The 27,383-nt window shown below is 54.7% G+C and overlaps 1 protein-coding gene across 6 annotated transcripts, besides 3 other annotated features; it reads left to right on the plus strand.

The window, feature by feature from the left end:
• Nucleotides 6,100-6,983: an enhancer, noted in NCBI's record as "H3K27ac-H3K4me1 hESC enhancer chr11:64350049-64350932 (GRCh37/hg19 assembly coordinates)". NCBI's record gives its function as "activates a minimal SCP1, AML or CMV promoter by ChIP-STARR-seq in naive H9 embryonic stem cells {active_cell/tissue: H9 hESC(naive)}" and the evidence as "EXISTENCE:reporter gene assay evidence [ECO:0000049][PMID:30033119]".
• Nucleotides 6,984-7,866: an enhancer, noted in NCBI's record as "H3K27ac-H3K4me1 hESC enhancer chr11:64350933-64351815 (GRCh37/hg19 assembly coordinates)". NCBI's record gives its function as "activates a minimal SCP1, AML or CMV promoter by ChIP-STARR-seq in naive H9 embryonic stem cells {active_cell/tissue: H9 hESC(naive)}" and the evidence as "EXISTENCE:reporter gene assay evidence [ECO:0000049][PMID:30033119]".
• Nucleotides 8,088-8,273: a silencer, noted in NCBI's record as "fragment chr11:64352037-64352222 (GRCh37/hg19 assembly coordinates)". NCBI's record gives its function as "represses an EF-1alpha promoter that drives an FKBP-Casp9 reporter gene in an ReSE screen in HepG2 liver carcinoma cells {active_cell/tissue: HepG2}" and the evidence as "EXISTENCE:reporter gene assay evidence [ECO:0000049][PMID:32094911]".
• On the plus strand, nt 14,743-25,867 carry SLC22A12 (solute carrier family 22 member 12). 6 transcript variants are annotated; one of them, NM_144585.4, is made up of 10 exons: nt 14,743-15,481; nt 16,302-16,405; nt 16,928-17,082; nt 17,158-17,326; nt 22,039-22,162; nt 22,331-22,446; nt 23,199-23,413; nt 23,890-23,998; nt 24,258-24,461; nt 25,011-25,867. In NM_144585.4, exons 1-10 carry the CDS (start codon nt 15,080-15,082, stop codon nt 25,072-25,074), a joined length of 1,662 nt encoding a protein of 553 aa, NP_653186.2. In that variant the 5' UTR covers nt 14,743-15,079; the 3' UTR covers nt 25,075-25,867. The 6 variants fall into 6 exon arrangements, with proteins under 6 accessions (NP_653186.2, NP_001263255.1, XP_006718494.1 ...); NM_001276326.2 differs by having other exon boundaries at nt 16,928-16,980; XM_006718431.5 differs by having other exon boundaries at nt 14,743-15,070; nt 15,182-15,481; nt 16,928-17,326.

Genomic DNA, 27,383 nt, shown 5'->3' on the forward strand with positions numbered 1-27,383 from the left:
GGCCCACCCAAGTCTGGCCATGAACTTAGAGTGGCCTGTCAGCTGGGCTGTGTGTGTATTTTTTCCATCCACATTTGGCTGCTCAGGGGCAGGTATGGGTTGTCAGAGAACCAGAAGCCCACAATAAAAGTGATGACATTTGTGATAGTCCCCAAGAAACCTGGCAACACCACCCTTTCCAATATCACTGGTGATACTGGTTAGATGTTCGTGCACCTGCGCATGCACTCCCCAAAATGATGTGATGAGTGGGCCCTGCCAGCTCGCTGATCTTCTTGAAAACCTGTAACCCCAGTCTAATCATGGGTTCAACCCTCAGTCCTTCTGAGATGCCCTGGGGCCCTGTGTGACCAGCCTTATCTCACACCTGCTTGCCTCCCCCAACCCAGCCCCATCCTCATTCCCCTCATGGTTCCATGAACCTGACCGGTCCTTGCCCATCATGGGGACCTTGCACGTGCTGCTCCCCAACTGTATACACCTCCATTCCCAGCCTCAGGTGGGAGCAACTGTTCCCTCCTGATCACTGGCTGGGTGGCCCTCCACATCTCTTCCTGTTATTCTATGACCTCTTGATTTTGTTCATGATCCTTATAGAGTCTGTCTTCCCAATGGCAGTGGCCAGTCAGCCTGTCCTCCTGCCAGCACCATACGACCCAGGCAGGAAAATTTCACCATCTTCTCCACAGTGTCCCCAAAGCTCTGCTCCAGGGCCTGAATCTGGTATCTTTTTAATAACTGTTTACTGGATAGATGGATAGATAGATGGATGGGCGGGTGGACGGATGGATGGATGGATGGATGGATGGATAGATGGATGGATGGTTTGGTGGTTGGATGGATGAACGAATGGATGGATGGGTGGGTAGATGGCTGGGTTGATGAATGGATGGGTAGATGGATGAATGGATGGGTGGGTGGATGAATGAACGGATGGATGGATGGATGGATGGATGGACAGATGGATGGATGAATCGATGGGTAGATGGATGAATGGAGGGGTGGCTGGATGAATGAATGGATGGATAGGTGGGTGGATGGATGGACAGACGGATGGATGGATGGACTAATGGACAGGTGGATGGATGGGATGGATGGGTAGATGGGTGGGTTGATGAATGAATGGGTAGCTGGATGAATGGGTGGGTGGGTGAATGAATAAATGGGACAGAAGAGAGTGAAGAGGTCAAAGACAGCATTTTAAAATATTCCCACAGAGAACATTCCAGGCCTTGATGGCTTTGCTGATAAATTCTGACAAATATTTAAGCAAGAAATAATAGAAATTTTATCCAAAATCTTCAAGAAAGTTGTAAATGAGTGTGCGACTATTCATTCAGTTATGTTTTCATTGCCTTGCCTGTGTCTGCTAAAAGCTCTACCCCTTCCTCAGGGCCATGAGGGACAGGCTTGAGTCCCACCTCCCAGGTTAGAGTGTGGCCAAGAGCTTCCAGGAATCCACACTCATCCACAAATAACCCTCCCCCAGGCACAGACATCATAAAGCAGGAGATAGAAAAGGGGATGCTGGACAGGGGTCCCAGGGACCTCAGGTGACCTTCCCTGCCCAGGCCCTTCCCTTCCCAGGTCATCACGGGTGTCGCTGTGTTCTTTGGGTCCAGGAGGCTGCATGTGCCCTCACTGGGCCACCAGAGCCCTCTCTGGGCCACTTGTAGCCAAAATGAAGAAAGAATATCAGTCCCTCTCTCAGGGTAGAGCAGCAGGAATTGGCATTTGGGCTGTCGGCCATGCTCTCTGCTTTGTGGAGAAACAGACCTGTAGCAAAAATGAAAGCAACAGGGAGAAACAAGCAAGAGCTAGAGGAAGGACAGGGCGGAAGAGCCACAGGTCCCCAGGAGACCCCACAGACCAGAGGCCCTGAGCTTCCAGGGAGCCCCTCCCACTAACTTTGTATGACCTGGGGCCCTGTCAGTCACAACCCAAACATTCTACCACTGCAGCGTGGGGGACTGGGCCTGGCACAGGGCAGGGGCACCCACTGGAGCCACCTATGTATATCCTCCCGGGAGTCAGCCTGTGGCAAGCTGTGCTGCTTGAGTAGTGGTGGCCCTGGTGGAGCCTAGTGGGGCCACCTCCCCATCTGGGTCCCCAGGAAGGTGCCTAAAGGAGAATCGCTGCTTTTCCAGTCAGTTATAGAGAGTATATGTGATCTTAACAGCTAAGAACTGAATTTTCTCAGGGATAAAACTGTGTTGGCTTAGGAAAATCCCTTGGCTAGGCTACTGGAAGGAAGGTGAGACCCTAAGGACACCTGTTTTTTGTTTTTTTTTTTTTTCAGGAGAAATAGCCCCAAGAGGCAGAACAGGATGATCCTGGGTTGGAACTAACAGACCACCAGAGAAAGCAGAGAAGAGGCCGAGTGCGGTGGCTCACGCCTGTAATCCCAGCACTTTGGGAGGCCAAGGCGGGCAGATCCCAAGGTCAGGAGATCGAGACCATCCTGGCTAACACGGTGAAACCCCATACTAAAAATACAAAATAATTAGCCGGGCATGGTGGTGGGCACCTACAGTCCCAGCTACTCAGGAGAATGGTGTGAACCCAGGAGGTGGAGCTTGCAGTGGGCTGAGATCACGCCACTGCACTCCAGCCTGGGTGACAGAGCAAAACTCCGTCTCAAAAAAAAAAAAGAAAACAGAGAAGAAAGGGGTAGAGAGGAGCTGCGTGGTAAACAGAGGCCCAGGGCATCCATCAGGAAGGATGGTCCAGTCCATTATCTGTCTAGCCACAAGCAGTTTTCATGGCTGCAAGGCGAACTCGCCCTCCATCTCCTCAAACCCCGAGAACTCAGGTGGACGGTGCATGCGTGTGTGTGCTCGTGTGTGTGCCTGCCTGCTGTGTGTGTGCATGAGCCCACACATGTGCCCACCTGCCTGTGTGTCTCTATGTGTACATGTGTGTGTCTGTGTGTAAAAGCTGGGGACTGCCATTCATGTTTCAAGGATACGAATCCCTCCAGGATAGAGACATAGGAAGGGCCACAAGCCCCCATGGCAGAGGACGACTCTAGCAGGGGCACAAAGTAACCAGGAACACAGAGCTTCCTCAGCCCCAAACCCTCCTGAACTTTGCTCAAAAGCATAAATGGAGAGTGAGCCGATTGTATTTAGTTCCCGAAGGTCCAGTGCTCCTGACATCTGTGATACGGGTGTTCTTTTTAGAAAAAAATGAGAGGTCTTTGTTAAAACTCCAAGCACACATTAGCCATAGGTGAAAAGATGAACATCTCACCCCGGGTTTTCAGCAGCCTCATGATACTGTGTACAGTTTGGTGCCTTGTCTTTTTTTTTCTTTTTCTTTTTCTTTTCCTTTTTTTGAGACAAGAGTTTCGCTCTTGTTGCCCAGGCTGGAGTGCAATGGTGCGATCTCGGCTCACCGCAACCTGTGCCTCCTGGATTCAAGCGATTCTCCTGCCTCTCGGCCTCTCGAGTAGCTGGGGTTACAGGCATGCGCCACCATGCCCGGCTAATTTTGTATTTTTAGTAGAGACGGGGTTTCTCCATGTTGGTCAGGCTGGTCTCGAACTCCCGACCTCAGGTGATCCACCTGTCTCAGCCTCCCTAAGTGCTGGGATTACAGGCGCCTGGCCCTGGTGCCTTGTCTTTCAAATGATATCTCTGCCTGCCTGATCTAACCCTGGGGTGACCTGGCTCTCCATGGGTCCTTCTCGAAGTTCAGTCTCTGGCAGCTTCCACGTGTTTCCCACAGTCCTCTTTGTCAAAAATCATTCATAATAACAACAGCAATACGAATAAAACATTCACTGCACTCCGGGGACTATTCTAGGTGATTTGTAGAAACTCGTTTAGTCTTCTCAAGAGCCTGATGAAATCAGAACTATCAGCACCACCATTTTACAGAGGAGGAAACGGAGGCACAAAGGGGTTAAGAACTTTCCCAAGGCCACACAGCTTGGGTAGAGCAGAGATTCAAATCCACGCAGCCTGAGCCCAGAGTCTGTGCATGTAACCATTGGACCACACTGCCTCTCGTTTAGGGGGTCTGCGGGGTCTGTTGAAGCCCTGGCCAGCACTGGCTGCTCTGAGCTCACTCTGTGAGGCTCCTGCATCCACAGAAGCAGGAAAGAAGGCTCCTGCTAGCACAGTGTGTTTGCACACGGCCGGCCAAATCCCACACTGTTTTCCGATGAGATGAGAGGAATGTTGCCAAAATCCACATCATGCCTTCCCCTGCCCTCCCCACAGCTAGACTTGTCCTTGTATCCACTTAAAATCACTCCTCTGAACAATAGGCTGCAACTCACAAAGTCAAAAAGAGACAGCTCTCTACTAGAAGACGGGTATTCTTGAGAATGCAGCTCAACCAGCATGAAACTTCTCCAATAAAGATGCTGCAATCATAAGGTAGAAGCCGAGAATCGTGGGAGCCCACAGGAAGGGGGGCCCTGGGCACAGGCTCCAGAGGAATGGCTCAGAGGGAAGCATTTGTACCCAGCCTTGTTAAAATGTGCCAGCCAGAAAATGCTGGCTATGGGCAAGACCCTCCAAAAACACAGAACAGTGCAAAGTTCAACCTGTTTGAGCAGCTCCCATTTTGACGAGCCTGGTTCCGACGTCTGGTTAACATCTCTTTGTTGAATTTTAACATAAAACATCTTTTTGACACAACAAGAAGAGCAAAGTCCCTTTGGAGCAGGAAGGCCAGGCTCACAGGTGCCGCCAGGCACATGAAAGGGCAGGGCAGCTGAGCCATGCTGCCCTGCGCCCTCCTTGGCCTACTTAGGCAGATTTGCTCAATGAGCCAGAGGAACCCCCCAGGCGGAGGCTCCAGTAGGGGCTGGAGAGAAGGGGTCTGCGCAGTGTGGGGCCTGCGGTTAGGGCTGTGGCAGCTCGCATCAGGGACAAATTAAAGCCACGAGTGTGCTCCCCTGGCCCTGGCCACCTTCTTGAGCTGGTGCCGAGCCAGCAGCCCGTGGCTGCCTCCCCACATTGCAGCCTCCGTGTGGGCGGCGGGACACACAGGTGGCCGGCCATCGCCTGCTCCCAGGGATCAGCAGCCTTCAGGCCAGAGGAAAATGTATTTTTATTCAAGTGATGTCTGTGAATGCTCTAGAAGGGTGCAGGGAGGCAGGGAGAGGCTGTTGAGCGAGTGCTGTTGGGGACGGGGCTAGGGCCACACATGTGAAGCAGAGGTGGAAATGGCTGTTCCTGGGGTGACAGCCCATGGGGAGGCTGACCTTCTGGGAAAAGCTTTTGCTGGGCTTTGGGGTACACAAGCGCAAAGCTAGAAGCTGGTCCAGCGGGAGAGGAGGCCAAGCTGGAGGGTGGAAAGTGTGGGAGCTCTTCCTGGGCTCTGAGGGCACTAGGACAGGATTGATTTGAGTCTCCCTCTAGGACCCCCTCACCACCACTCCCCCTTACCGCTCCGTCACCAGCAGCATCACCATCTCAATCACCACCATCATCATCTCAATCATCACCACCACCACCACCACCACCATCTCAGTCACCACCACCACCATTTCAATCAGCACCTTCTTAATCATCATCATCACCATCTCAATTATCATCACCTCAGTCATCACCATCACCATCTCAATCACCACCAGTACCATCATCCCAATCACCACCACCACCATCACCACCATCTCAATCATCACCACCATCTCAATCATCACCACCATCTCAATCACCACCATCACCACCATCATCTCAATCACCACCATCTCAATCACCACCATCACCACCATCATCTCAATCACCACCATCTCAATCACCACCACCACCACCATCTCAATCATCCCACAACCATCTCAATCACCACCATCACCATCTCAGTCACCACCATCACCACCATCTCAGTCACCACCAGCACCACCATCTCAGTCACCACCAGCACCATCTCAGTCACCACCACCACCATCAGCAGCAGCGCCACCATCATTGTCATTCCTATCATCACCATCATCATCACAGTCATAAGCACTGGGGCATTTCCCAGTTGTTCTGTGGGGAATTTCAAGTTGAGCCTGTGGCCGCGTTTGGGGCACATTTGGTAGTGACGAGTAGCAAAGCCACTGCCATTTTTCAGAAAGGCAGTGGCCCAGGCTATTCCAAACAGCAGTTTGGAGCAAGCAATGCCCAGGAGAGCAGACCTTCAGAGGCTTTGGAGGAGCTGGCAGTCCCAAGCCTAACATGGGTTGGGGGCCCTCATTATCCTGGGGGCCCTCATTATCCTCACGTAAACACTCCGAGAGCTGGAGGAGGACCCTCAGAGAACCAGGACATCTTGCCCTAAAGACCACCTCGTAGAGTGGAGAGCATGATGCCCTTTCCACAGATGAGGAAATCAAGGCCCAGAAGACCTGGATTTAAACTGAAACTGTGAAGATGGCCACGCCTCTCTGCAGCCCTGGCTGGGCCCTACCCTGTGTGCCAGTCCTGTGCTGGGCACGGTTAGAGGCACGATGACTCGGACCTGGCCCTTAGAAAACCTGCAGCCCATCACCTCACGCAAAGCACCTCCAGGTGGTGGGCACCGTTCTGGAGGGCTTCAGGGATTGGGAAACGAGGAGACAGGGATGGGCCTGGACGGGCGGAGACGGTGGCCACAGCATTCAGGTGGAAGAAACAGCAAAGGAGCGAAGACAGGAGTGCAGGACCTCTTCAGAAGAGAGTCAGTGCCTGTGTGGGCAGGGCCGAGGCCACGTGATGGAAGCAGCCGAAGGGAGAAAAGAGGGTTCCCATGGCCTCGGCCTCCTCTCCAAGGCACTAGGGAGTGATCTCAGACTCTAAGCAAGGGGTGACAAGCTAGAGGCTCGCAGATCCTTCAAAGGGTCCACACAGAGCTTCTCCCAGGAGCGCACTTCTACCTCCGAGAACCCAGCCCACAGAGACAAAGGCTGGGAGGAGAGCAGAGGCTCTGATCCTGCAGTAATAGTTTCCAAGCCCCAGGCAACCTCGAGGGGCACAGAGCCCTGTCAGGCCCTGAGCAAGCCCAGCCAGCTTTGGCTGCTGCCTCCTTCAGCCGCCCGCCTGGATTCGGCCAGCCCTGCTGAGTCACGGACAGTAAGCTCTCCTGCCTGCCCTTTCTCCTGCCTGGCCTGGGACCAGAGGCAGCTGCTGTCACCACAGGACATTGGGGGCTGGGAGGAATCACAAAAAACCTGCTGCACGAACCAGCCAGAAGGATGCCCACCGCGCAACCCCAGGTCCAAAAAAAAAAGAATACGTTGACAAACCACGTGCCTGTGCCATTTCTCCTGTAACAAGGCAGGCCCAGGACAGGGTTGAGGCCTCACGACCATGGGGTCTCCCTTCATTGAATTCGCTGTCATTGCCTCCACTCTCCTTGACCCTTCCCCCTCCCAAAATCTTATCCTCCACCCGCCACTCACCCCTGTGGTCTAGTGCTCATCGCTAGACCAGTAGCTGCCCGTGTCCCAGCTCTCCACCTGGATTCCCCTCCAGACCTAGACTGTAACAGTACTTCCATCCTGTGGGCTGTAAGACTCAGCGCCCCTCCTCCTGCACTGTCCCAGTGGCCTCGCGTCCCTTTAGCCACTAGCTCAGGACTCCTCCGGGGAACATCTTGTAGCCATGCCCTTGCACATGCGCACCATGCAGCGGCCCCATCTCTCTCCCCCTTTGCTGCCTGGCCAGGCTCCTCCATGCCCAAACCTAACTCTGTCCACACCACGCCTGCCCCCCGCAGAGGAGGCAAAATCTCATCACAGACCCCACCGAGGGGCACCAGCAGCAACCATCCCACTCTGGTCCATCGGCTCTCCCGCCTCTCTGTCTTCAAACTTGCCACACCTCCCTAAGCTCAACTGTCTACCTTGCTTCGTATTTCACTGGCCCCTCTTGTCCTCCCAACACAGAGCTTCGTTTGTGTCTGCACGATCACCCTCATCTCCTGCAGCTGGCAATGAACTCCTGGGGCCACTGTGCTCTGGGTTCCGTCCCCTCTCACAGTCTCAAGGACTCTGCTCAAATATCCCTCCTGCCAACAACATCAAGGTTTCCCTTTCTAACATGCGATCCATCAGCATACAAGTGAGTTGTAATAACCCCTCTGCTTGAAAACAAGGCTTCATAACACAATTGTGTGAGCTCCCACAGCAGAGATGACCAACTGCCCCCCAGCACCCACGCTTCCCCATTCCAGTGTTGAGATGTGGCCTGATAGCAGCAGCCTAGCCAGGAACTGCGTCCCTCCCCACCTTCTGCCTTGTCACCAGTTCTCAGCAGTGGGATGTGAATGGAATAAATGTGGGTCACTTCTGGGCTAAGATGGTCAAAATGCAGGTGAATGCAGGCTGGGCGCAGTGGCTCACACCTGTAATCCCAGCACTTTGGGAGGCTGAAGCAGGTGGATCACTTGAGGTCAGGAGTCTGGGATCAGCCTGGCCAACATGGCAAAAACCCGTCTCTACTAAAAATACAAAAATTAGCCGGGCGTGGTGATGCGCACCTGTAATCCCAGCTACTCCAGAGGCTGAGGCAGGAAAATCACTTGAACCTGGGAGGCGGAAGTTGCAGTGAGCTGAGATTGCTCACTGGTGACAGGGCAAGACTCCATCTCAAAAAAATAATAATAAAAAAAATTTGTAAACGCAGGTGGATGCTTCATCCTCTCTTCCCCTCTGTGGCTGGATGCACACGAGCACAGCCAGCGTGGATGCCAAGGACAGAGCTGCGAGATGGGGAGAGCCTGCGTTCCCAGACACCTCTTGGAGGAGAGCTGCCCACAGTCAGCAACAGCCATTTGGGACTTTACACAATCAATAAATAAACTTCTACTGTGTTTGAGCTGCTATACATTTCGAGGTTGGCTTGCCACAGCAGCCAGCGTTACTCTAATTAATGCGAACCACATCCCCATTTTCCTGCTTCTCCTTAGAGTGAAACTCCGTAGGTGAGCTGCCTGTCTTCACCGACTTCACTTCCCTGCCTCCAGCACTCTCACAGTCCTGTGCCTCTGTGCACTTCACCTCACCCCTCCACGGTAAACCCTCAAGCCAGGGCCCTCAGAGAAGTCCATGCTGCCAAATCCAGGGGCTAATTCTAGACCTTATCCCACCCCACCTCTCAGCAGGATGAGACTTTTTTGTTTCCTTGTTTTTGAGATGGAGTTTCACTCTTGTTGCCCAGGCTGGAGTGCAATGACGTGATCTCGGCTCACCACAACGTCTGCCTCCCAGGTCCAAGAAATTCTCCTGCCTCAGCCTCCTGAGTAGCTGGGATTACAGGCATGTGCCACCATGCCTGGCTAATTTTTTGTATTTTTAGTAGAGACAGGGTTTCACCATGTTGGCCAGGCTGGTCTCGAACTTCTGACCTCAGGTGATTCACCTGCCTCAGCCTCCCAAAGTGCTGGGATTACAGGCGTGAGCCACCGCGCCCGGCCAAGGATGTGACATTGCTGATTGACTCTGTCAGATACTTTTCACTCTGGCTTCCGGGGCATCCTGCTGTCCTGGTTTCCAGGCCTCACTGGTTTTGCCTTCACAGCTCTTTTGCTGGGTCATCCTCTTACTGACCTCTCAACATCAGAGACCAAAGGCTCCATCACAAACGTCATCTCTTTGCTATGAAAGCTTGCACCCTACGTGAGCTTATCCAGTCCTGTGACTTAAAATGCCTTTTATCCCCTAATTATTCCCAAGTCGCTCCATGATGCCACCACCTGGATGGCTAATAGACATGTCAATATCATCACACAAAAAAAGATTTATTTTCCCATCAAACTTGCTTCTCCCCGAGTGTTCTGCTTCTCTGTAAATGGCCCACCATCCACCCACCACCCACCTGATCATCAGTTTATCCTTTTTCTTCACCCTCGGCCCTGTATTTAGTCAAAGAAAAGCAATATGCCCCAAACCCAAGCATTTCTCTCCACCTGCCCTAATCCCCTAGCCCTGACCCTCATTGCTCACATGATCCACCCCAACAGCCTCCTGGGGGAACCCCTTCTTCTATATTTGTCCCATTTTCAGTCTGTTCTCCACACAGCAGCCAGGGAGATTTGTAAAAACATTAGTCAGATCATGCCACTTCTCTCCTCAAAACCCTATAAGGAAGTGTATGTTTTGGCCCCAAAACTGCTCTACTTTTCCCACTCACTTCTCCCCAACCATACTGGCCTCCTTCCTACTTCTTGAGCATAAAATCACATGCCCACCCCAGGGTCTTTGCATAATACTCTTCCCTCTGCCTGCAATATTCTTTCCCCAGTCAACTGTGTGTCTTGTCCCCTCATCTACTTGGGTCTCTTTCAATGCCACCTCCACAGAGAAGTCTTCCCTGACTGCCCCACCCAAAGTGGCAACATGATCCTTACTCTCTGCCCCTTATGCTATCTTGTTCTCTCCACAGCATGATTACTACTTGTCACTATATTCATTTATTTCTTGATGTGTTTCTCCTCTCTCATTGGCATGTCTTTCTACATATCAATGAGAACAGGGAATTATCTTGTTTGTTCACCGCTGCATCCCTGTGCCTAGAGCAGTGGCTGGTGCATTATCAACACTCAGCTCAACAAATGAATATTGATATTAAGAAGAAAGACACTCTTCTTTTTTTTTTTTTTTTTTTTTTGAGACAGAATCTTGCTCTGTCACCCAGGCTGGAGTGCAGTGGCGTGATCTTGGCTCCACTGCAACCTCCGCCTCATGGATTCAAGCAATTCTCCTGCCTCAGCAACCCTGGTAGCTGGGATTACAGGTGTGTGCCACCACCTCTGGCTAATTTTTGTATTTTTACTAGAGGCAGGGTTTCCCCATGTTGGCCAGGCTGGTCTCAAACTCCTGACCTCAAGTGATCCACTCGCCTCGGCCTCCCAAAGTGCTGGGATTCCGGCCGTGAGCCACCACGCCTGGCCCAAGAGAAACACTCGTAATATCCACTAAGAGATCAAGGAAATTATTCCACCTATGAAACAAGAAGTGGAAACTAGGAAACAAGAAGAAGCAGTTATAGGAAGAACCAAACACGGATTCTGAAATGGAAATTACACATTCTGAAATTAAAATGCTGGTGATTTGGGGCTGGGTGCAGTGGCTCATGCCTATAATCCCAGTACTTTGGGAGGCCGAGGTGGGCAGATCAGTTGAGGCCAGGAGTTCGAGACCAGCCTGGCCAACATGGTGAAACCCCATCGATATTAAAAATACAAAAATTAGCTGGGCATGGTGGCACATGCCTATAGACCCAGCTACTTAGGAGGCTGAGGCATGAGAATTGCTTGAACCTGGGCAGTGGAGACTGCAATGGGCCAAGATGGCGCCACTGCACTCCAGCCTGGGCAACAGAGCAAGACTCTGACTCAACTTAAAAAAAAAAAAGTGGAGAAAGCTGCATGAGAAGCATTTTTTTGGGAGAGCTCAGCTTTGGCCACACTAAGTGTGAGATGTTTATTAAGCACCTAAGATTAGGCAGTTGGATCAAAATCTAGCATTCCAAGAAGAGGTACAGGCTAAAGATGTGAATGGACCAGATGATAGAGAATATAGAGAAGACCAAGGAGTGAGCTCAGTGGCCTCCAATGTTAACAGTGTGTGGAGAAGAGGAAAACCCAACCAAGAAGATTGAGAACTAGTGAGTCCTGGAGGCCCAGGGAAGAAAGTATTCTCAGATGGAGATCAGAGACAGATGGCTCAAGTAAGATGAGGACTGAAAATGTCATTGAATCTAGCAGCATGGAGGTCATTGGTGACAGCAGAGTGATAGGGGCAAAACCTTGATGGGAATGAATCCAAAAACAAACAAAAAAATGGGAAGACAGAAACTGGAAATGAGTGTCAATAATACTTTCATAGAATTTTGTTGTAAATACAAGCAAAGGTGGGGCAGTCGCTTAAGAAGAAAGAGGGGCTCAAATGGAGGGGGAGTTTTTGGAAGGCTACAGAAAAAAATGGCATATTTGTACATTGGTGGAAATTATCCAGTAGCGAGGGAAAGACAAATGCCAAAGAGAGATGTGAGCAGGCAAAGGGGGGTGGGCTCTAGGCACACAGTGAGGGGTTGGCATGGATGAGAGAGAAACCAAACTGGGTGGAAGGAAGGCAGAATGTGGGGGCACCAAGGCAGGTGAGCTGGTGAGAGAATTAGACTGTTGGCTTCTGATGGCTTCTATTGTTTTAGTGAAATAAGAAAAAAGGTCATCTATTGAGAGAGAGGATAGAAGAGAAGGTGGTAGGTTTGAAGAGAGAAGATGGTATCAAATAACCCCTGGTTTGTGTGTTCAAATATAAGGGTAACAGAAATAAAACGTACAACTGACAGACCAAGACAGTAGAAGAATATAACAAGAAAACTTAATGGATTCAGTAGAAATTAGGAACAAGGAAACCAAGATTTAAAGGGAAAATGTGGTAAACAAGAAAACATACAGTAAGTCCAAACATGTCAATAATTACAATAAATGTGAACAGGTTAAAATCGCTAATTAAAAGGCAGAGGTATTTCTTTTGGATTTTACAAAAGGAAATGTAAAGCTTATTTGGCAGCTCAAGCTGATGAAGCTAAACATATCAGTTACTAAAACAAAGTCTGCACATATTTACACCAAACTGTAAACAGTAGTGTAACTCACTGGTTGATGAGTATATGAGGGATCTTTATTTTCATTTCAATATGTTCTGAATTTTTGAGGAAGTGTGTAAATTATTTCATAATTAGAAAATAAATGAAATTTTTAAAAAAATCATCCATGCACTTCAGCAAGTCTCCATGGAACCTTTATTTGTTGTCCAAATCAGTTCCAAAGAGCCTCTAAAGAAGGGTTCCAGACTACCAGGAGCTCACTGGAAATAAGACCAACTGGACCATAATAGAAGAATGCAGGTCATGGCTGGGTGCCGCAACTCACACCACTTTGGGAGGCCAAGGCAGGCAGATCACCTGAGGTCAGGAGTTTGAGAAGAATGCAGGACAGTGTAAAGATGAGATTCCACTGACAACTCTGAGCCCTAGTTGTAGGCAGGAATAAGTGAAGAGAGCCCGCTGGAGGAGGAGTATTTGGACTGTGCCCATTCCACACAGTATGTGGCCTAAGGGTGAGCCTGGAGACAGCATTCCAGGCTGGAGGTCCAACATAAGCAAGGGTGGGAACTGAGAAAGCATGTACAGGGCATGTGGTGGAAGCAGTGGATGACTCAAGGTGCAGAGCCCAGGGAGGCAAAGAAGTTGGCTTGGTAAGCCATGTGGAGGGGCAGCGGGAAGAGTCGGTGAAGCAAAAAGAAGCAGATGGGAGGGGCATTTATGCCTCAAATGGAGAGTTTTATGCCCAAAGCTCATAAGAGCAAACACCTGGGTTGCCATCACTGCTGCACTGCACATATACGCATGCACACATGTACACACATGCACTTGTGCAAACACATGTGCACACATACACAGACATGTGCACACACCCACATATACATACACTTCTTTTTTTTCTTTTCTTTTTTTTTTTTTTTTTGAGATAAGAGTCTTTCTCTGTCAACCAGGCTGGAGGGCAGTGGTGCAATCTCAGCTTGCTGCAACCTCTGCCTCCTGGGTTCAAGAGATTCTCCTGCCTCAGCCTCCCAAGTAGCTGGAATTACAGCTGTGCACCACGACCATGCTCAGCTAACTTTTGTATTTTTAGTAGAGATGGGTTTTTGCCATGTTGGCCAAGCTGGTCTTGAACTCTTGACCTCAAGTGATCCCCCCACCTCGGCCTCCCAAAGTGCTGGGATTACAGGCATGAGCCACCACGCCCGGCCATGCACACACACTTTTTAACTGCTTTGTGTTCTCTGGCCCTTTCGCCTACAGAATTAGCTATCGAGACCAAGGGGGTTCTCTTGGCCTCGGTCCAGCCTTTCCTGAACCCCACACCCTGCATCAGCACACACTGCTGTCCACTCACCTGCCCTAGTAAGTCACCACTAGCTGTTGTTGACTGGGAGCCCCTTGGCTTTTAAGCAGGATTTGACCCAAGGGCTCGCAGTGCGTGGTGGGTCCAGGGGCAGGAGTTGAGGCAGAAAGACAAGGGCAGGGACAGCTGTGGAGTGGGGGAGGTGGGAGAGAGAAATCCTTAGGAGGCAAAACTAGCCAGGCTTGGCCCCTGGTGGATTTGGGAGGCAGGGAGCAGGAGGCGTGAACCAAGACGCTGGGTTCCAGGCCAGACACTGTGACATGAGAGGCCATAGCTGAGGTGGGGCTCTGCAGGAGGCATAGATTTGGGGAGGGGACAGAGATCTCAGGGTGGCATTGGGCACACCGAACCTGGGGAGTCTGTGGGGTGTCTGTTGATGCTGGGAAGCTCCACCGAGGACTCAGGACAGGGTAACAGCAAAGCGGGCACAGGACGCCAACCACAGCAGGTGAGTGGAGGCAGGAGCCACGGGTGGGGCCAGGCCACACAGCCTGGGAGGCGCAGGGGCTGGGCAGCTGCCAGTGACCCAAGCCCACACAGAGACTTGCACAGCTGCCCCAGCCCCAAATTAGGGGGATCCCCTGGCCCACCTTCTCTTGGCTCAGCCACTCTGGGAGGTGGGCACACAGGGGCACCGAAGGGAGCAGGCAGCCCTGGCATCCCACAGCCGCCAGGAGAAAAACTTAGGCCTCCCCAAGACCTGGCACAGAGCAGGCCGGCCCTGGCCCCCAAGCAGAGGAGGCTGCACCTCCCTCGCGTCTGTGCCTGCCTCAACGCGGGTTAAACTTTGACCAAGGAAATGATTGCTAAACTCGATTCCATAAGTGTCACCGGTCACACTTTAATTCCAGTCTAAAATTAAAGTCTTCAGTCTCCACATTCCCTACTTTCCAAATTCAGCTTTCCCGGGAGGTCTGGAGCAGCTGCCTCTCTGGGGAGATGCTGGAGGTCTCGGAATCACCTCACGCGGCCTCAGGGCCCAGTTGGAGCCACCCCAAGTGACACCAGCAGGCAGATGACCAGAGAGCCTGAGCCTCCGGCCCCGAGTCTGTGAAGCCTAGCCGCTGGGCTGGAGAAGCCACTGTGGGCACCACCGTGGGGGAAACAGGCCCGTTGCCCTGGCCTCTTTGCCCTGGGCCAGCCTTTGTGAAGTGGGCCCCTCTTCTGGGCCCCTTGAGTAGGTTCCATGGCATTTTCTGAACTCCTGGACCTCGTGGGTGGCCTGGGCAGGTTCCAGGTTCTCCAGACGATGGCTCTGATGGTCTCCATCATGTGGCTGTGTACCCAGAGCATGCTGGAGAACTTCTCGGCCGCCGTGCCCAGCCACCGCTGCTGGGCACCCCTCCTGGACAACAGCACGGCTCAGGCCAGCATCCTAGGGAGCTTGAGTCCTGAGGCCCTCCTGGCTATTTCCATCCCGCCGGGCCCCAACCAGAGGCCCCACCAGTGCCGCCGCTTCCGCCAGCCACAGTGGCAGCTCTTGGACCCCAATGCCACGGCCACCAGCTGGAGCGAGGCCGACACGGAGCCGTGTGTGGATGGCTGGGTCTATGACCGCAGCATCTTCACCTCCACAATCGTGGCCAAGGTAGGGCCTCCCCCAGAGCCACTCGAGTCCCACCACCTTGGAGGTCAGTCATGGATCACGGTGGGTCAGACTCAAAGGTCCAGTCCTGGGAGGGACCCACCTCCCCAGGCCCCACTCACTCTCGAGCCTCTCAGCCCCTCGTCAGCCACACACAGGGAAGTGGGCGGCAGGGATCAGTCTACAAATGGGGCCAGCCCAGGCTCTTGGAGGTGCGGGGGGCACCTGGGCGGGCACCTCTAAATGCTGGCACCTGGACACTCACCGGCCTCACCCTGTCCTGGCCCTGCTGACCTGTCAGCCGTGACTCCAGGCAACTCAGCAGCAGGGGGACTCAGTGACAATTCACTGGATTCCCCGAGACCAAAGCACACAGAGTAAGGGATTACCCCAGGCTGCCTCCCAGATGGGGCGCCAGGCAAAGCCAGGCAAGCAGAGAGGGGCAGCTCATCCCAACAAGTGGGAAGAACCTCTTTATAAAGAACAGGAGGGAAGCAACCTCTGGGAGAGGGGTGAGGGTGTCAGCTTGGGTGGCTGCTTCCAAGTGGAGAGACAGGAGAGAGGGGCAGATGTGGCTAGAGACCCATTGGGCAATAGGGAGCCATGGAAGAGTTCAGGCAGAGGGTGGCAGGATATACTCCTCAAAAGGCCAAACTATGCCTGTGGGTGCCCTCACTGTTCCACAGGGTCTTGCTCTAAAACCCTAGAGGTCACCAGACCACCCACCGCACCCAGCTCCCTGGGGGCCCTCCCATGCGGTTCCTCTGCCTCTCTGCTGGGGCTCTCCCAACCTCCTGAGCTCAGCCTCCTCCTCTCCCATCAGTGGAACCTCGTGTGTGACTCTCATGCTCTGAAGCCCATGGCCCAGTCCATCTACCTGGCTGGGATTCTGGTGGGAGCTGCTGCGTGCGGCCCTGCCTCAGACAGGTGAGTACCCCCAGTCCAGGCAGGTCCCAGTTCCCCTCACAACCCCTGCTCTCCTAGGACCCTGGCCGACTGGCCCCAAACCAGCCTCACAAAACCAAGTCTAGAAAGCGCCCTACTTGCTGGGTGTGGGTCTCGGACCAGCCACCCTGCAGCCGTGCCAGGTAGGGAGGTCTGGAACCTTCTCTGAACCTCGAGTTCACCAACTTTACTCTGGGGGTTGTAGAGGATTTCTGCTCCCCAGCAAACATTCACTGCTAAAACTGGCTTGGCCATGCGCCTTCCTTCAGCAGCAACCTGAGTGCTCCTGGTGACTGGAGCCCATTCCCTTTGGCTCTGGCCTCGGGACTCTCCTTGTGCTCCGGAGGGTTCCGTAGGTGGAGAATGTAGGTTTCACCCAGGTGCCGCTTCAGTGTCCGCCTCAGCTCAGCGGGCAAGCATAGGGTGGGCTCTAGGTGTTCCAGAGCCCCGTGGCCTGTGCCGTGGCAAGCCACAGACCCTGCCTCTTCCTGGTTTGTGCCGCAGGTTTGGGCGCAGGCTGGTGCTAACCTGGAGCTACCTTCAGATGGCTGTGATGGGTACGGCAGCTGCCTTCGCCCCTGCCTTCCCCGTGTACTGCCTGTTCCGCTTCCTGTTGGCCTTTGCCGTGGCAGGCGTCATGATGAACACGGGCACTCTCCGTAGGTCTCTGACCTGGCGCCATGCAGGGGGGCTCCATGCAGGCTCCAGGGCTGAACCACTCGGTCTCCTTGCAGTGATGGAGTGGACGGCGGCACGGGCCCGACCCTTGGTGATGACCTTGAACTCTCTGGGCTTCAGCTTCGGCCATGGCCTGACAGCTGCAGTGGCCTACGGTGTGCGGGACTGGACACTGCTGCAGCTGGTGGTCTCGGTCCCCTTCTTCCTCTGCTTTTTGTACTCCTGGTGGGTGCTGTGCCCCACTCCCCTCCTCAGAGGAGATCCTGCCCACTCTCCACCCGGGGGAATGGGAGACTCTCCTTTCCCTGGGGGCTGGGGAGTGCTAGAGGCCAGGGGTGCATGGGCTGGAGGAAAGCCAGGAGCGTGGCAGAGTGTACCACCCACAAACCCAAGACACCCACTTCAACCAGGGCTTGGGTCCCCAGGGCGCCTCCCCTGCTCCTCTCAAGTGCTCCTTCTCCTACTTATTCTTCTCTTTTCCTCCCTCCTCCTCATCTCTTGGCCTATTCTCCTCTCCTGTCCCTGCCTGCCTTGGCATCTATGCTGCCAGGCCCATCTTCTGAGCCCCTCCTCTGTGTGTGCCAGGCATGGCAGCACTGAGCTAGGCTAGGGGAGCGAGTGGAAAGATACAACACATGCCCGCACACACAGCGCACAGCCGCAGTCTGCTTCATGGGCTGACAGAATCAATGCTTGTGTCTGTCTGCTGGAAGACAGGGACCAGGATCCACTCATCAGAGGGGAGTCCACAGTCCCCACAGAGGGCCGGCATGTGTGGGAGGTTAGGAAATGTCAGCACTGCCCTGAAACAAATCAGGCGTGGCCCTTGCCGAGCACCTGGCACATAGTAGGTGCTAAATAAATATTTGTTGAATGGATGAATTGTTAGGTAAGTAGAAATAGATAGATAGGTAGGTAGGTAGGTAGGTAGGTAGGTAGGTAGGTAGATAGATAGAGACAGATAAATAAATGGGTTGACAGATGTGTGGATTGGATGAGTGGATGGGTGAGTTGGTGGATAGATGGATTGGATTGTATAGATGAATTGAATGGATGGTTGAATGGATGGATAGATGGATGGATGGTTGGAATAGATGGATGGACGGATGGATGGATGGATGGATGGATGGATGGATGGATGGATGGACGGACAGACGGACGGACGGTTGGATGGATGGATGGATGGATGGATGAATGGATAGTTGGAATAAATGGATGGATGGATGAATGGATGGATGGATGGGTGGATGGACGGACGGATGGATGGACAGATGGAATGGATGGATGGATGGTTGGAATGGATGGATGGATGGAATGGATGGATGGATGGAATGGATGGATGGATTGTTGAATGGATGGTTGGATGGATGGATGGATGGATGGTTGGAATAGATGGATGGATGGATGGGTGGATGGATGGATGGATGGATGGATGGATGGATGGTTGGAATAGATGGATGGATGGATGGGTGGATGGATGGATGGATGGATGGATGGATAGATGGATAGATGGAAAGGATGGATGGATGGATGGATGGATGGATGGATGGATGGATGGTTGAATGGATGGTTGAATGGATGGTTGGATGGATGGATGGATGGATGGATGGACGGATGGATGGATGTTTGGAATAGATGGATGGATGGATGGATGGATGGATGGATGGATGGATGGAATGGATGGATGGATGGATGGATGGTTGAATGGATGGTTGGATGGATGGATGGATGGATGGATGGATGGATGGATGGATGGTTGAATGGATGGTTGAATGGATGGATGGATGGATGGATGGATGGATGGATGGATGGATGGACGGACGGATGGATGGATGGATGTTTGGAATAGATGGATGGATGGATGATGGATGGATGGAATGGATGGATGTTTGGAATAGATGGATGGATGGATGGAATGGATGGATGGATGGTTGGAATGAATGGATGGATGGATGGTTGGAATGGATGGATGGATGGATGGTTGGAATGGATGGATGGATGGAATGGAAGGAGGGATGGATGGATGGATGGTTGAATGGATGGATAGATGGATGGATGGTTGAATGGGTGGAATGAAAGGATGGATGGTTGTAATAGATGGATGGATGGATGGTTGGAATAGATGGATGGATGGATGGATGGTTGGAATAGACGGATGGATGGATGGTTGGAATAGATGGATGGATGGATGGTTGGAATGGATGAATGGATGGATGGATAGATGATTGGAATAGATGGATGGATGGACGGTTGAATGGATGGATGGATGGATGGATGGATAGTTGAATGGATGGAATGGATGGATGGATGGTTGGAATAGATGAATGGATAGATGGTTGGAAAAGATGGATGGATGGATGGATGGATGGATGGATGGATGGATGGATGGAATGGATGGATGGTTGGAATAGATGGAATGGATGGATGGATGGATGGATGGATGGAATGGATGGATGGTTGGAATAGATGGAATGGATAGATGGATGGATGGATGGATGGTTTGATGGTTGAATGGATGGATGGATGGAATGGATGGATGAATGGAATTGATGGATGGATGGGATGGATGGATGGATTGATGGATAGTTGGAATAGATGGAATGGATGGATGGATGGATGGTCGAATGGATAGTTGAATGGATGGATGCATGGATGGATGGATGGATGGAATGGATGGATGGATGGATGGATGGATGGATGGATGGATGGATGGCTGAATGGATGGTTGAATGGATGGTTGAATGGATGGATGGATGGATGGGTGGATGGATGGATGAATGGATGGATGGATGGATGGAATGGATGGATGGATGGTTGGATGGATGGTTGAATGGATGGATAGGTGGATTAATTGGATGAACTGGATGGATGAATGGATAGATGGATGGACGGAGGCCATTTGAGGGCAGGGCTGAGCCTGGATCATTCATACACAGGCCCTGCACTTAGTAGTTGTTTGGTCATTGGGACCACTGTAGAAAGGAGCACAGCAGAGGCCCAGTGGTGAGCAGGTGCCCGCACCCACACTAAGAAGAAGGCTGAGTCCACAAATCTCTCCCACCCAACAGCTTGGAGTGGAGTAACAATTTGCAGCCACTCCTCAGAGCAGGAGAAAATTACATCTCATACAGTGGCTCCACAAGGAGGCAATCGTGTCCGACAAGAGCCTTCTGGGATGGCAGCTTGACTCCCAACACCAAGAGGGTAGAGAGTGGAAGGTAAAGGTCAGTGATAAAAATTCCAAGGCACCCCTCCTGGTTCTCATGCTGATGCAGGGCCACAGAGCTGCACCCCCCTTTCCTTGGTAGACGTGCTCCCACAGGGCTGAAGAAGTGCCCATTCATTCATTCATTACTTCATTCATTCAACAAATAACTACTGAGCACCTACCATGTGCCAGGCGCTGGCTGACACCAGCTATGAGCAGATATGTGGTCTCTGCCCACGTGGAGCTCATAGGGAATCCCACACATCGTGGCCTCACAAACTGTGCTTAGGGCTTGACGAACAACCTGGGGTATTGACATCTGAGAATGGGACCCCGCTTTCTCCCTCCCAGTCACTTACAACACATTCCAGTCAGCTTTCTCCCTCTTCTCCGCCCAAACTGCCCTTCCCAGGGTCACCCACAATGATCTGGCCACCATCACTTGTGGTACCTGCTATGTGGCGGGCACAGTCCACACTCTCTCCCTCAGGCAGCCTCACCCCTGCCTGCAGCCCCAGCTCCCTCCAAATACTGCAGACCCCAAATCTCCACTTGGTCCTGCCTCCCCCACTGACCTCCAGCCTTACACCTCCAACTGCCCACGTGACGGTTCCATTATAGGTGTCTCATCCCCACACACATCTCCTTAGACCTCTCCTCCCCAAGTCTTCCCCAGCGTGGGGAGCAGCCCCTGAACTCACCAGAGTCACAGTGGCCATGACGCCTCTCTCTCCCTCACCATCCCCCCACCAAGTCCACTGGGTCACCAGGCTTCATCAGCTCTATCTCTAATATGCACCTGGAATCTCCACTTCTCCCCTCTGTTCTGCAAATCCCTAAGGAGCTCAGGGCCCCGGTGGGTGTAGGGCAGGTGGCCCCACCCTGGCTGCTCATAGGGGACAACACGTCTGGCTGAAGGACCTGCAGGAGCCAAGGCCTAGAGGCAGGCCCCGTGTAGAGTGGTGGGCATGGCAGGCGCTCAGCAGGCGGGGCGGGACGGTGTGGCATAAGCTCGGTTTGACACTGAGGGTAGTGGGAGACAGGTCAGTGTGAGGGGCTGGGTCCTGCCACAAGGAGGGGAGGTGCTGGGCTCATGAGGCCGAGATAGCAGAGACTCAGGTGCGAGGGGTCCTGGAGGTGTGGGAATCAGCTGACAGGGTGCGGCCAGAGGGCGCTGGTGCTGTTGGGGACCCTGGTCCCAGCCTGAGCCCCGGGGTGGCTGTGAAGCTGTTTGCAGGAGGAAGATGCAGCCATGGGGTGGACAGGAAGGCCATGTGGTATGGGAGGTGCCAGGACAGGGGTGGACCCCAGTCGCCTTGGAGATGGCCAAGGTCCTGGCAGTGGCCAGGATCCAGTGGTCCTGTAGCCCTAGGGGCCCTGACTGCAACCAGGCCGGGTTCCTAGCGAGGCAGGGGAAGGGCTGTGGGGTCTGGAGGGAGGCAGGAAGGGTTCCACAGAGTCATCCCTCCCTCCATCCCAGCAGCCAGCCCCAGGATGAGAACAGCATCCCAACCACAATCCCTAGGAGGGAGAAAGGCAGCAGAAGGGGTCTCCTGCTGGGGAAGGAGGGTGCCCAAGAGGGCTTGGCTGCCACAACGCCCTTCGGGGTCCTCAGCCGCCCTAAGCCTTGGGCCTGGAGCAGTGGGTACAGGGTAGCAGTCTGAGGCTGGCGCAGGCCAGGCACTGGGGGCCACAGGCAATGACCCCTCCCACGCCCCCTCCACTTAAGGTGGCTGGCAGAGTCGGCACGATGGCTCCTCACCACAGGCAGGCTGGATTGGGGCCTGCAGGAGCTGTGGAGGGTGGCTGCCATCAACGGAAAGGGGGCAGTGCAGGACACCCTGACCCCTGAGGTAAGGCTGGGTCCTCCTCAAACCCGGACCCTCAGACCCTCTCCCTGCCCCTGCATAGGGCACCCTGGGAGACCCACCAAGGACCTCAGCTCCCTGGGAAGAAGGTCTCAGAGAGGAGGAGGTGCCTGGCGCCCCCAGTGCCAACAGCACCCACCCCCGCCTCCACAGGTCTTGCTTTCAGCCATGCGGGAGGAGCTGAGCATGGGCCAGCCTCCTGCCAGCCTGGGCACCCTGCTCCGCATGCCCGGACTGCGCTTCCGGACCTGTATCTCCACGTTGTGCTGGTAGATGCCCTTCCCCCAACCCCACCTCCACAGGGGAACCTGGAATCGGGGCTCTCGCTGGCACACGGCCCCGGCCTCTGCTGGCTCCGCTTGGTCCCACTGGCCTGCAACACCGACACCTTCCCCTCTGTCAGTCACTCCCGACAGGAGACAACCCAGGCCGGGTGGGCTCACTGAGGGGGCCTTAATAAGGGGCAAGGCAGATAAAAGAGATGCAGTAGGTAGGATCCCTAACAAAGCTCCTGGGAGGGCTGGGAGCCAGGCATGACGAAGGGGTGATCCAGGCAACAGCATGGGCCGCAAGCACCCCTGCCTGGTGTGGGGCCAGGGAGGGCGGAGAGGGCTTATCAGAGCCCAGGACCCATGGCCATCCAGCAAAGACCAAAACCGCCAAGGCCAAGGAGGGAAGGACTGTTCAGTGGCAGCTGGAGCCACGGAAGGGACATAGTCACTCCCAGACAAAGCCCCCAAGCAGAGAGGGAGGCAGAAATCCCCTGCTTCTCCCCTCCTCCAACCTCTTGCCAGCACCTCCCATCAGCCAAACCCAAAGGGAAGCCATGCTGGCAAGGGGACCTGATAAACATAGTCTAGAGACTGGCCCCGCCCCACAGAGCTGGCAGCTGAAGGGCCAGAACACTGAGCTAAGAGCAGCACACCCCCACCCTGAGCCCCCACCGCCCATTGTTCCCACCCTGCCCACCACCCCCCCCCACCCCCCACCCCCACCCTGACTTCCCTGACCCCTGCCCCAGGTTCGCCTTTGGCTTCACCTTCTTCGGCCTGGCCCTGGACCTGCAGGCCCTGGGCAGCAACATCTTCCTGCTCCAAATGTTCATTGGTGTCGTGGACATCCCAGCCAAGATGGGCGCCCTGCTGCTGCTGAGCCACCTGGGCCGCCGCCCCACGCTGGCCGCATCCCTGTTGCTGGCAGGGCTCTGCATTCTGGCCAACACGCTGGTGCCCCACGGTGAGGGGGCAAAGCTGTACACCAGAGACTTCCCTACCTTGGGGGGGTCTCGGGCTGGGAACAGCACCCCTCCTTGGAGGTGCTGGACTAGAGCAGGTACCCTGGTAGGAAGGAGGCTGCCGGAGCCGTCTAGGGACAGACGGCAGTGTCTGCACTGAGCCAGCAAGAGCGGTGAAGGAGTGGCATGGGTGGCACCAGGGAAAAGTGTGGAGTTAAAATGAGAACTAAGTGATGGATTGCAGGAGGAGGGAAACGGGGTCAAGAAGGACTCCTCGGGGCTGGCTCTGGGTGTCTGAGCGTGGAGCAGATTGTGGGTGTGGCCATGAGGCCACTCAGGACAGGATACCCAGATGGAGATGACTCCCAAACATTTACAAAGAGGCCTGAAAGTCAGGGACAAGCCCCCTGGGCTGAAGGGAGCCCTCATCTGATCTTGGGCCCCCCACCAAGCTCACTAATCCCATCTCTACCCACAGAAATGGGGGCTCTGCGCTCAGCCTTGGCCGTGCTGGGGCTGGGCGGGGTGGGGGCTGCCTTCACCTGCATCACCATCTACAGCAGCGAGCTCTTCCCCACTGTGCTCAGGTGAGGCTGGGCCTGGGCTCCAGGAGAGGGGAGCCCTGGGCTGAGCTGCGGGGCACCCCCAGGCAGGACTGGCTTCTCCCAGACCTAGATGTTCATGTCATGCATCTCCCTCTTGTGTGGTCCCCGGGGCTGCTCAGGTGCATCCCAAGCCCAGCCTGACCCCCTGGGTCTCCCTGGGCCAAGCGGGCCTGGCCCGGCGTGCAGGATCAAGGCTGTGGGCACACAGACCAGGCGCTTATAGGTGCATCTGCATTGGCAGGATGACGGCAGTGGGCTTGGGCCAGATGGCAGCCCGTGGAGGAGCCATCCTGGGGCCTCTGGTCCGGCTGCTGGGTGTCCATGGCCCCTGGCTGCCCTTGCTGGTGTATGGGACGGTGCCAGTGCTGAGTGGCCTGGCCGCACTGCTTCTGCCCGAGACCCAGAGCTTGCCGCTGCCCGACACCATCCAAGATGTGCAGAACCAGTGAGTGGACCCAGCCTCGGGACCACCCCTCCCTCCCACCAGAGAACCCTAGCACAGGGCAGCCTGCTCACCCATCCCCATCACTTGACAGAGGCGGAAGCAGAGGCCCAGACAGATAGGATTGGCCCAGAGTCACACAGTACATCTCTGGGAGAGTGGCAACCCAGGGCTCAGTCTCCGGCTGGCAGTGCTTTGACCTAGGGCTTTGTCCTCTGCCTTTCACTCCACCATTCAAGGCACAAATGGACAAGCTCCCCCAGGTCCACCCTGAGAGAGGCCAAAGGGAGAAGAGTGGATAGTCCTTTGTGAGAGGGAGATCCAGCCATTGTTGGGGGCCCTCGCAGGCCCCAGATTCTACCTCTAAAGCCCTGATGGCTGGCAGGGCAGTCACTTCACACACACCCCCAACCCATCACATGCTCGGGAGCTCAGTTCTGGGCCCCCGAGAGCAGGGTGGTGGCATTCCCTGGAGTCCTTGGGATGGACACAGGTCAAGGGTCAGGGGCCACTCCGCACCCCAAGACACACCCCCGTGTGCTTCCTGAACAGGGCAGTAAAGAAGGCAACACATGGCACGCTGGGGAACTCTGTCCTAAAATCCACACAGTTTTAGCCTCCTGGGGAACCTGCGATGGGACGGTCAGAGGAAGAGACTTCTTCTGTTCTCTGGAGAAGGCAGGAGGAAAGCAAAGACCTCCATTTCCAGAGGCCCAGAGGCTGCCCTCTGAGGTCCCCACTCTCCCCCAGGGCTGCCCCTCCAGGTGAGCCCTGCCCCTCTCACAGTCCAAGGGGCCCCCTTCAATACTGAAGGGGAAAAGGACAGTTTGATTGGCAGGAGGTGACCCAGTGCACCATCACCCTGCCCTGCCCTCGTGGCTTCGGAGAGCAGAGGGGTCAGGCCCAGGGGAACGAGCTGGCCTTGCCAACCCTCTGCTTGACTCCGCACTGCCACTTGTCCCCCCACACCCGTCCACCTGCCCAGAGCTCAGAGCTAACCACCATCCATGGTCAAGACCTCTCCTAGCTCCACACAAGCAGTAGAGTCTCAGCTCCACAGCTTTACCCAGAAGCCCTGTAAGCCTGGCCCCTGGCCCCTCCCCATGTCCCTCCAGGCCTCAGCCACCTGCCCGCCACATCCTCTGCCTGCTGTCCCCTTCCCACCCTCATCCCTGACCGACTCCACTTAACCCCCAAACCCAGCCCCCCTTCCAGGGGTCCAGGGCCAGCCTGAGATGCCCGTGAAACTCCTACCCACAGTTACAGCCACAAGCCTGCCTCCTCCCACCCTGCCAGCCTATGAGTTCCCAGAGGGTTGGGGCAGTCCCATGACCCCATGTCCCAGCTCCCCACACAGCGCTGGGCCAGAGAGGCATTGGTGCGAGGGATTGAATAAAGAAACAAATGAATGGCTGCCCCTCACTGACTCAAGTGATGAGCCCCCAGGGTCCTCCCGGGTCGGGGGAAGGAGGAAAGTGCTGGGGGCTGCTTTCTGGGGTGGGTCTTTCCCAGGCCAGCTTGCCTGCCCCAGGTGCCAGGCCAGAGTGGCTGCTGTTTCCAGCGCCTGTTGTGGGCCCGGTGCTGTGCTGGACACCTCAAAGCATCATCTCACTTCACTTTTTCCTGAATCCTGTAGGGCAAACATTGCCCCATTTTACAGATGAAAAAACTGAGGCTTGAAGAACCTGATTGCCCATGACACTCAGCTAGGTGGGGGCAGTATCAGGATTCAAACCCATCAGTAGGCCTCCAGAGCCCCACTCTGGCCACAACAGCCCCAGCCTCTCCCAACCCAGCCTCACCATCTGGGTGTCCAGTAACTCTCCTGGCAGCGGCAAGGCCAGGGGCCCACAGTGTCCACAGGCATGGCTCGCGGGGAAACGCAGTGCAGCGCACACAGAGGTCTGGGTGCAGGTAGAAGCCATTTGCTGCCCAGCCGGGTCCCAGCCAGCCAGCCCAGTCACCTGAGCCACCCTGGGGCCATGCTCAGATGGTCTCTGGGTCCACCTGTGCCTGCCTTGCTGCTTCCAGGCACCTTGGCCGAGGGCAGTGCCCTACCACCCCTACACACACATTAGCCGTGTGTGCACACATGTGCCCACATGCACATGCACACATATGGGATGGGAAAACAGAAAGCAGCTCTTTGCCCCCACAGGAAGGGGGTCACTGCTTGGCCTGGTCTTGTCAGCTGCAGCCCCTGGGCCTCTGGGGGGCCATGTCCTCTGGCCATCTACCTAGGGCCACCCCTCAGTAAAGAACCCCGGGCAGGGATCCTGTTTGTGAAAATGCCTGAATACAAGGTCATCTCAGCCTGCCCTGGACCTTTTGTCTTTTGTCTATCTGCTGCCCAGCTGAGGCCCAGCGGCCTTTCTAACCCTTGAACAGCATTCTTGGGACCTCAGGGTATCCAGAAGTTTCTAGAAGGCAGAACCCAGGGCTGGTGGGAGATGGGCCCTCCTGTCTTCTGGGATATCCCTCCAGCTCACCAAGGGGGTCTGGACTACCCCTCTGCCCACATCCTGAGTGGCCTTGCCCCTGGTCCTTCCAGATAGTCACGACCCTCCAGGACCCAAGCCCTGTTTGCTTCCAACATAAGTCACTCCTGGATTAACTCAAGAGGCCCTGGAAGCTGGGAGGGCCCAGGACCCTGTCCCTCTGGCGAGTGAGCAGCCTTGCTGTGGCCAAGTGGGTGTCGGCAAAGGGAGAAGGGACCCCCCTCAGCAGCAGCCTCGAGCCCACCCGAATGGCAAGCCTATGCTTGGGACACACTCTGTTCTGATGCCCACCACGGAGGCTTCAACCTCAGAGCCTGTGGGGGCACCCCGCTATGGAGGAGCCAAGGGAAAGAAGAACCCATCACTACCCCATCAGTGTCATCCCCATGGCGGTGGAGGCCTCAGGCAGCAGGGATGAGGAAAGTGG

This window comes from Homo sapiens, chromosome 11, assembly GCF_000001405.40.
Source record: "Homo sapiens chromosome 11, GRCh38.p14 Primary Assembly".
Lineage (NCBI taxonomy): Eukaryota > Metazoa > Chordata > Mammalia > Primates > Hominidae > Homo > Homo sapiens.